We start from the raw sequence: 10,126 nt of genomic DNA, 5'->3' as shown, positions 1-10,126 counted from the left end.
CTGTGGACGTTAGTAGTTTTTACCACATGGATGTCATCATGGGGATATAAGAGTTCCGTGATCAAACTAGCTGGAGAAATCCTAGGTGAAGTCAATACTATTTAATTTGGGGTATTTATAATTAATTTGACCATGGAGCCTTTCAGATTTATTTAGTCTGTATCAGACCGTAAGCAATGGCTGCATAGGACCCTAATTCTGACCCCCAGCTGCTCTCTGAGATCCTCTACTTACATAGCTAGTCCTAAACACAGTTATGTAATAGAAAAGCTCCTAATCTCTATTCGATAGGTACTATATAAAATGATATATTTAGTTAAGTAATTTATTATATCACTTAAATTTTTAAATTTTTGTCAAGTAATTATTTATCTATATTAGGAAATATAGTTTCAAAAATTGTTTACCAAGTTTTACATATTCTGAAAGAAAACAACTTTCTGAATAAATATCAGTTTTCCCTGAACAATGCTGTTTAAGCAGTATACTTTAATTAGATGAGAAGCAGCAATAATATATTTGATATGTAAATATCAACTTATATAACAAATTTCCCTTTATTAATCATATATTCCTTATGAGAGTATAAGAAAACTTAAGTAGCTTTGTGTCAGCCTTATTGGAGTTTCAAAGCAGGATTTTCCCTGGTGCCTTAAGAAATAGATAATAGTATTAGATGAAGAACGGTAGAACTATTATTGATAGATCAAGATGAGATAAATTTTTTGAAAACAAAACAAAACAAAACAAAATATATGCTATCTTACCTTAAGCTTACGCCGGGCATTGAATTCTTGGAGCTTCTTTTGAGCGGTATCCATGTGTACAAAATTGGCTGCTTTACCTGTGACCCACGGATGCTGGAGAGCTTGAAATGTAGTCAGCCGTTTCTTTGGATCCAAAACAATTAATTTTCTGACCTGAAATAATAAAGAACCATAAACTTAGCGAGGTTTTTAGGATGACCTGGGCTTGCCCTCAGCTTACAAACTTCCAGATCTTATTCCATTTCCCAGCAGTACCACTAAATATATGTGAGAAAAAAATTGTTTAAGTCCTCAGGGGCCACTGTAGGTAGGCACAGCTTCAGGTAGCAGTAGCTGAGGGAGTATGAGAAGACAGGGCCATGTACCACCTGAGACCCCCAAAGTGGCAGACGGCTTTCCAACAGAAGTCAAGAAACAGCTCCTCACTTGCCTGTGGACTGGAAGTTCTTTGAAGGCAGAACCAGCAAAATAATTCTGGGCTGCGCTTCACAATCACCTAGAATTCAGAACTTAAAGTACATCTCTATGGTAACAGAATGGAATCATTCATGCATCATCATTCTTTCTGTGGGGATTAAATGGCAAACAAAAGGGAGAGTATCCCAGAACTTATGGAATACTACCTTATGTTTCTATCTTGGGGTTTATAGTTCTTTCTAACCCCTTGAGGGTACTTGAAGGACTAAGCCCAGAGTTTAAAAATCATTTTATAATCCAAGAAGTCAGTGGCTTGAGGGCATGATTTGCCTAAAGAATGGAATCCAATCAATGGCAGCCCATTCTTGGAGGTTTACCCCTGCTTGTGAGGATGGGCAGTCAATAAATTCCCAGGAAGGTCAGCAAATAAAATAATCCACAGTCCTGGGCTTAGTAGGGGTGACCTGATATGAGGCAGAGACTATTGGGAGTCAGGAAGTGTGTTCAAGCCCTGGTTATGCCACTCGCCACTTTTGTGACCCTAGATATAGACAAATATATAAATTGCCTGTGGACACCCCCTCAGGCTCTTTCCTTACAGAATCTTATTTCCACTTTAATTCCTTTGTAATTGCTTCTTAGATGCATATATAACTTTTTAAAAACTCATGTAATCTTTTAGCAGCCTTATCATTTGGAACTACTAGTGCCAATTCATAAATGAGGGAAGCAGGGTAGCTCAGAAAGATTTAGTGACTTGCCTCAGGTCAGACAATTTGGAATTGATGGAGCCTGTATTTAGACTCAGGTCTGTGTATGTCAGAGCGCATCTTGTGGCCACTACAGCATGATGTCTCCAAGGTGGTCAATCTCCCTGTACCTTGGCCTGCTCATGTGCAAAATAAGGAGCTTTGAATGATTGTAGGTCTCAGGTCTTTTCTAACTCTAATTACCTAAGGAGACGTGAACATAGGCTAAGGAAATCAGGCGGCAAGTCAAATGAGGAATAAATACTATCTGGTTCTCTCTTCACTTCCTTTCTGCAAAAGAATGTGTGTTTGGGCTAGATTTGTAGTGGGCAGAGACATGAGGCTCTTTAGGCTTAAAATCTGAGAGGACATGGAGGAAGGTAGGATGGTTAAGAGAAAGAAGGCATGGTAGTAAATAAAAATCTGATAGTAGTCATGGCTATTATCCGTTGAACAGGACTACTAATAATTTTATGTAAATGAGCCCTAATCCTTACAACATTTTTGACAATTAGGTATTTTCTTTTTCTTTTCCAATCATTTTTCTCCTCTCCCTCCTCATTACTATCTTCCTCACAAAAATACAAAGAATTTATTGAAAGTCAATGTGCACCAAAAATTTATATACACCATTGTTAATCTTTACATTTGAAGATATTGATAACAATCCTAACTGAATTATTAGGAAACTTTCTGAAGGTTATAATCACACTCAAAGCCTTGCCATTACCCTGCAGTACCCCTTACATCCAATTCCCCAACTCCTTAGCACTTAGTCTCTGCCGATGACACAACAGATGTGGGTTTTGCTAGTAAGTATACATTTATGGAGCTCAAGGATTCTTCCAGTTCTGAAGTTTTAAGCAGTGATAAACTAACAAGGGATCTAGCTGAATGAAGGAACATCAAAGCTAACCCTCTTATTCACTTAATATTTATTAAGGGTGAAAAGAAATGGAAGGAGGGCTAAATAAGATTACTATTATTAAGTTAGTTGATATTAGTTACTTAACATATATTATGTTCCTTAATTCTCACAACGACCTAGAGATAGGTACAATTATCATCCTAGATGAGAAAACTAAAGCATAGCAAGGTTAGATCATGAGCCTGAGGTTACACTTCCAGGACATGACAAAGGGGGCACTTAAATCCAGGTGTGTCAGACTCTGAAACTTCACGGTGTACTTCCAGATCCATTGTTTCATCCAATAAACATTTACTGAGTCAGTCCTATATGCCTATGTGGTTCTAAGGTCTGGGTACACACGCTTTGTCCTGCCCCAGAGCTTAAAATCTAATTAAGGAGGACCATTAAATATATAAGTGATGACTGTTATGAACTGGGGAGTGCAGGGGGTAAAGGAAGATTTTGGCAGAAGGAACCAACTATAGGTGGGAGGGACTGAAGGGGAAGGCCGACCATGCCTCCCAAGGGATATCTAGTGGCAGCTGGGGCTTGAGAATAAGAGTTACCCAGGGGTGTGTGTGTGTGTGTGTGTGTGTGTGTGTGTGTGTGTGTTTACATGCCTATGTGTAATGGAGAAGAAGGTGGGGAGGAAGAAAGAACATTACAGAGCAGAAGAGCCATGGCAATATCCTGAGCTATGCTGATGAGAAACTAGAAGTGTGGTGCACTAGAGTGAAAAGTGATCAAAGGGGAGAGATGTGAAGTGAGTGATGGCACAGGAGAGAGTGGCAGGCCCCAGACCAGGCAGCGTCATGTAGATCTTGTTATGGGTTTTGGATTTTATCCTAAGATTCTTAAAGCAGGACAAGGACATGATGCGATTTATTTATAAGACCATCCCTCTGGATCCTGTACAGACTGTATTTGAGAAAGGCATGAGAAGAGGCAGGGAGGTCAGATAGGAGGTTGGGGCAGTGGTCCGGGGGAGAGAACTGGATGGATTCAAGAGGTGTTTAGGAGCATGGGGTATGACTTGAGGAAGGAGTTGCAATGACATATTTATACATCACACATCACACACACTGACTTTCTCTTCCCACTCATGCTGGAAAAGCCATGAGCCTTAGGGAATCTGTTCCATGAAGGAACACAGAGGGTAAGGAAGAAATGCTTGAAGAAAAAAGAGCACAGGAAAGGGAGTCTGGACGACTGGATCAGCCCTAATAATGTCTTTCTGCTGGGAAGCTGTGTGACCTTAGCAGTCATTTCACCTCTCTGGTCTTTAGCATTCTCATCTTTAAAATGAGAGGAGGACTAGATGCCTCCTAAGACCTCTTCTATATCTAACCTTCTATGATTCAAAAGTCAGCTTTTGATTATGTCTGTGTGGTTGTTCTCTAGTGGATTGATGAGAAATGTTTCAATCTCATGTTAGCATCCTCTTTATTTTATAAGAGGTGAGTGACCTCCCCAGAAGGTATGGATTTCCTGAATGCAAACAAATGTCAATATTAACTTAAGTGAGAAGCAATGTAAAAACAAACAAACAAAATGAACTATTAACACAGTGGAACATTTTTATAATGCCAATGATGCATAATGGGACTTACGTTACTATTAGGATATTTTAATAAATTTGATGAAATTTCAGGAAGCAGTATTGTTTTACTTGAAGTATATCTAGGCTGGGTGCAGTGGCTCACATCTGTAATCCCAGCACTTTGGGAGGCCACAGTGGGAGGATCGCCTGAGGGCAGGAGTTTGAGACCAGCCTGGGCAACATAGCAAGACCCCATATTTCCAAAAAACTTTTAAAAATTAGCTGGGTGTGGTGGCATGCACCTGTGTCCCAGCTACTCAGGAGATGGAGGTGGGAGGATTGCTTAAGCCCAGGAGTTGGAGGCTACAATGAGCCATGATCATGCCATTACACTCCAGCCTGGGTGACAGTGAGACCTTGTCTCAAAAACAAAGAAACAAAAAAGAAATGAAGTACATCTAAATTCTAGGCAATTGCAAGCCATGTTAAAACAGAATTCTGTGTAAATTGTGTTTGAATTCACCCAGCACAGCTTTCTTCATAAGCAAGGTTTTTATACTTATAAGGTAGTAAAAGCTCATTAATACTGTAGTAATTGTAGTTTATGATAATTCAACTAGTGATGAGTCAAAAACATATCTAGTTTTTATTCTCTAAGGAAAATGTATTAATGAACTAATTTTATTAAAATACTTTAAAATTGAAAGAAAATATGGCATTAATATGGGTAAAATTTTAAAAAATTGTACTTCCCATTAATTAGTTAAAAATAAATTTATTTCATTTTGTTTCATTTTGTTTTGGTTACACTTACCAAGTCCTTGGCATTTAGAGATACTTCATCCCACCAGGGGGAGATAAAGTAATATTCACAATTCAGAATTCTCCTGAACATGAACTGATCGCCTCTTTCATCATAGAATGGTTCAAATCCACAAAGTCTAGAGGAATAAAATATAGAGAATAAAATGTCTTTAAAAGCTCAAGTATATTTCATCCAATTTCTGTAGGAATTCAGGACTGTTCTTTTTCACTGCTTCCTGCCATGGAAGCAAGTCTACTCAGCTTAAGTATGCAACTGCCTTATTACAATTCACTATTTATAGTGTAAACACACAATCAAGTCCTCAGGAAGTAGGAATTAATATAAAACCAACTTAGGATTTCTACAAAAAGCTATAATAATAATTATAATTATTGTGTAATAATAATTATTATTATAATTCTTATTACACAGAAGAACAATAATAATAATAGCTAACATTATAGACATTATGCTAAAGCCTTTCCATGGATTTTTTGACAGGTATTGAGAAGACAGACAGACAGGCAGACAGAGATTGAATAGACTTCCAATTTAGTGTGAAAGGGAAGAGCTGGGATTTTGAGAGTAAAGAAATTAAAAAGTGGAAATTAGAAATTTTCACTTATTTTTATTCTGCCCTATTCTATGAAATCCTCCATAGAAATGAGTAAAGCTTTATGACATTTCCATTCCATTCCAGTTTGGATTTCAGAGTGAACAAAGACAGAAGCTGAAACTATTGTCAGGCAATGACCTTAAAAAATGTATAAGATTAATATAGTCACCAGATGCAGCCAAAGAGATGAGCACCCTCAATTTACCTCATTCTTTGTATCATTTTCTACTATGGAGTCAACTTAAAAATGAATGGGAAAAGTGGGATAAAAGGGACGGAGAACTATCTTGGGCATCTTAACAAGAGAGAAAGGAAAAGCGAGTTGTTTGTGACCACCAAGCATCCACTGTTTACAGACGGGTGGAAGTTCTAAAATCAGTAGGGACCAAGAGGGAACTGCTTAAAAAAGCCCATGGCAGGGCATGTGTTGCATGTGTTCCATTTGAAAAAAAATGAGGGTGGGAGGGAGGATGAATAAAAGACATTTTCCCAAAGGCTTCACTCAAGCTGGCCAGGTTGGTACATAGCATGAAAAATTAAAGTGCATCCTAATACAGTGAGTTTTTAGAAAGAAGCAGTTTCGTATGTCCTTTTACTCACAGAATGTCCCACTGGGAGAATGTTTGTCTCTTCCAGATATTCTGGAGCCAGTGAGAAAAATGCAAGGCCTGACAGTGCAGACCCCTGGGCCAATGTGTTCTCCCTTTCCCTACTGAGCAGTCTGCACAGAGAATCCCGCTCCTGACCCACCTGTGGAAGAGCAGCCTAAGGTGAGACAGGGCACATGTCCTCACCCTGACAACGAGAGAGTCTGACCTTGCCTGCCCTGCCCTGCTCTCCACAACACTAGAAACCTATGGCCTGTTGCAGTTAGTCATGGAGAAATGAGCCAGCTTCCTAGACTTAGTTTAGGAGTTTCCTTATATTTCCCCTTCTGAAAATCTAGAGACAAAAATGACCACTGAAGAGTTATAGTGCTCAAATGCCTTTTCTCTCATTTCATTCCTATCAGTGACTTTTTGCTTTGGTGACAGAGGTAAAAGGTGACAACTTCAAGCCTTAGGGCAGAACTGTAGTGTTGAAAGCTGAAGGAGAGAGTTTGAATCTCTGATGTTATCTGATTTCTGATCAGATCATAAGGCCCAGTCCTGCAGCTTTTGTCTGTAGGGGAAGAGGGTTTAGGTATAAAAGGTAAAGATATGAGAATTCCTGGGAGGAAAAATAGAATGGCCTTCATTTTCAGCCTAATGGCATTCTTAGAAATAGCAAGGCCCCATCAATAGCCTGGTGGTGACAAGCTAGAACTCTTAAGAAGGAAAGAGTGGGCCATGCGCGGTGGGTCACACCTGTAATCCCAGCACTTTGGGAGGCTGAGGCAGGTGGAACAGGAGGTCAGGAGTTTGAGACCAGGCTGGCCAGCATGGTGAAACCCCATCTCTACTAAAAATACAAAAAATTAGCTGGGCATGGTGGCACGTGCTTGTAATCCCAGGTACTCGGGGGGCTGGAGCAGAAGAATTGCTTGAACCCAAGGCGGAGGTTGCAGTGAGCCGAGATCACGCCACTGCACTCTAGCCTGGGAGACAGAGCAAGACTTCATCTCAAAACACACACACACACACACACACAAACACACACACACACACACACACACACACACAAAGAAGCAAAGAGTGAAGTTAAAATGCAGCAGTAGCCACAAGAAGAGGGACAAAAGAGGTAACAGAATTCTTTACACTGATAGGAAGAATCCAATGTCTATTCATGGCTTTATTAAAAAAAAACAGCCCCAGAGTTTATGTACATACAGACAAGTATCAGTAAAGCAAATGCCTCAACATTTGGAAGACAGAAGAAAGAATCTGACTGAAGCTTATAACGTAGCTTCATTGTAAGATTTACTTTCCCAGGAAGCATTAACAAAATGGATCTTTAGTTCTAATTCTTCATTTGGTTACTTCTCTACTCTACTGTGTCTGTCTCCAAGCCACTCTGGTGAAATGAGTGAGATGTTAGAGGTCATAGTCTCAGGTGCCCAGCAGGCCACTAAATGTACATTAAACCAATCTAATAAAGAAGATACAGAGATCAAGTAGCACAACCCACCAGAGAAAATGTGCCAGTCGACCGTGCCAGTGGACTTCACCAATTATTAAAGAACTACAGAGTAAATAAAACGTCCTCAGGCTTAGGGCCTGACAGAAGTTAGCCAAAAACTAAAGAATATTAGTTGTAAGCAGCACTGTTATTTTCATTTTGGAGGCTACCACTCTTACTTTCAACTAAACCTATTAATTAATTACCTAAAGTGTATAAAGATAAAAGAAATATATAAAATAGTTTGCATAATTTGGTAATGGACTAGGGGATAGGACAGATTTTTAGAACTATCTTCAGGGTTACAATAAAATATTTCTCAAGTAATTATATTTTTCCCTTCATTTTCCCATGTCAGTGATATCATTAAGTTTTATGCATTCCACATTCCAATTTTTCTGGGTAAATGTAACTTAATTTCCTACTTCCATCTCTCCAAGTTCTTTCATATCATTAATACTTAATGCCTCCCAGTACATTTCAACAATGTACCTACCAATTGTTGGTACACTGGTACCTAAATTGGGTATATTTATACTTTAGGGGCAAACCTACATTTTGGGGACAAAAACAGGATCTTTATCTCTCCAAATTCCTCTCAAGCTTTTCTTTTTCTTTTGTTTTGTTTTGTTTTGTTTTTGTTTTTGAGTCGGAGTTCTATCACCCAGGCTGGAGTGCAGTGGCAAGATCTCAGCTCACTGCAATCTCCGCCTCCTGGGTTCACGCCATTCTCCTGCCTCAGCTTCCCGAGTAGCTGGGACTACAGGCGCCCACTACCACACCCTGCTAATTTTTTATATTTTTAGTAGAGACGGGGTTTCACCACGTTAGCCAGGATGGTCTCGATCTCCTGACCTCATGGATCCACCCGTCTCGGCCTCCCGAAGTGCTGGGATTACAGGTGTGAGCCACTGTGCCCGGCCCCTCTCAAGCTTTTCTAAAGACACAAGGAATTGAGCACACAAAATATCTTTTTGTATTACATATTAGTGGATGGCTATTTTATCAGTTGCTTGTTAAACCTTTCTGTCTTGGCGATCAACCATTGTATATCAGGTAAATTAGAGTTTGCTAACGTGCTTGTGGGCCCTACCACAGTTAGCCCATTCCTAGTCCATATCACCTGGATATTGAATTTTTTAAGATCACTATTAAGTTAAAAACAACTTTAATTAAAAGCATTCTGCTACGGACTGAATTGTATTCCCCCCTCCAACCCCAAAATCCATATGTTGATGCCCCAGCTCCCAATGAGATAGTATTTGGAGATGGAGCCCTTGGGAGGCAATCAGGTTTAGATGAGGTCATGAGAGTGGGGTCTTCCTCATGGGATTAGTCCCCTCATAAGAAAAGAGTACACAGAGCTTGCTTTCTCCTTCTCCCCATCATGTGAGGACACCGTGAGAGGGCGGCCATCTGCAAGCCAAGAGAGGGCCCTCAGCAGAAGCTGACTGTGCTGACACTCTGGTCTTGGACTTCCAGCCCCCGAAAACTGTGAGAAAATAACTTTCTGTTATTTAAGCCACCCAGTCTATATATTTTGTTATGTAAGCCCAGGTAGACTAGTATACCTACTTTCAAACCCTTCAAAATTTCTCTAAATTGGAATATTATGCATTCCAACAACTAACTTTGTAGTACTCTCTAAATGGCAACTAAGTCTCCTTGTTTTGAACTAAACTCTTGAAAGCATCGATATCTTATTTTCTAGTTGTTCTACAGTATTCTTCCATCTCAGACGCTCTTCTATTTGGTTGATTTTTTTCATCACCACCTGCAGTTCCACCATGTCTTTGGCAAATTTCATGAAACTCCTTATTTCTTATTAGACAGGAGCTCAGGAATGGATGTGGGGATACCAGGGATTAAAATATTTCACTCATTTTTTTTCCCAAGAAATTTGTGTAGGGTGTTAAATTTAAGACCCTTGAAAACCTAACAGAAATAAGAAACAAAATTGATAGCTAAAAATGCATTTAAAATATTCCTGATAAGAAATATACCAGTTTGGAATTGCTTAAGAAATTAAATAGTCATTTGCCCATTTAAAAGGACTAAATCTAATAATTTCATATAAGATGCAAATAAGTAAAACAAGAGCAAGTTTACACAGCTGGTCTTGGGCTCATATTCTTTACTAGTGTCAAGTAATAAACTGTTCCCTAAATCTGCTGTATATTACATAGTGGATATAGACATAGGAAAGCCCTGGACAAGAATTCCGG

At 39.3% G+C, this 10,126-nt stretch overlaps 1 protein-coding gene across 7 annotated transcripts in view; it reads right to left on the bottom strand.

The window, feature by feature from the left end:
- Nucleotides 1-10,126, bottom strand: part of CAMK4 (calcium/calmodulin dependent protein kinase IV) — a 271,304-nt gene that overhangs the window by 11,182 nt on the left and 249,996 nt on the right. For all 7 annotated transcript variants that reach the window (XR_948303.3, NM_001323375.2, NM_001323374.2 and 4 more), the window contains 2 exons: nt 5,198-5,324; nt 768-920 (listed from right to left, as the gene is read on the bottom strand). Coding sequence is in view for 6 of the 7 variants with exons in the window: in NM_001323375.2 (NP_001310304.1) it covers nt 768-920; nt 5,198-5,324 (280 nt within the window). In the remaining variant the exon portion in view is untranslated. The remainder of the gene's footprint in view (nt 1-767; nt 921-5,197; nt 5,325-10,126) is intronic.

The sequence above is a fragment of the Homo sapiens genome, chromosome 5 (genome assembly GCF_000001405.40).
Source record: "Homo sapiens chromosome 5, GRCh38.p14 Primary Assembly".
Lineage (NCBI taxonomy): Eukaryota > Metazoa > Chordata > Mammalia > Primates > Hominidae > Homo > Homo sapiens.
This window is presented reverse-complemented; position numbering and strand designations above follow the sequence as displayed.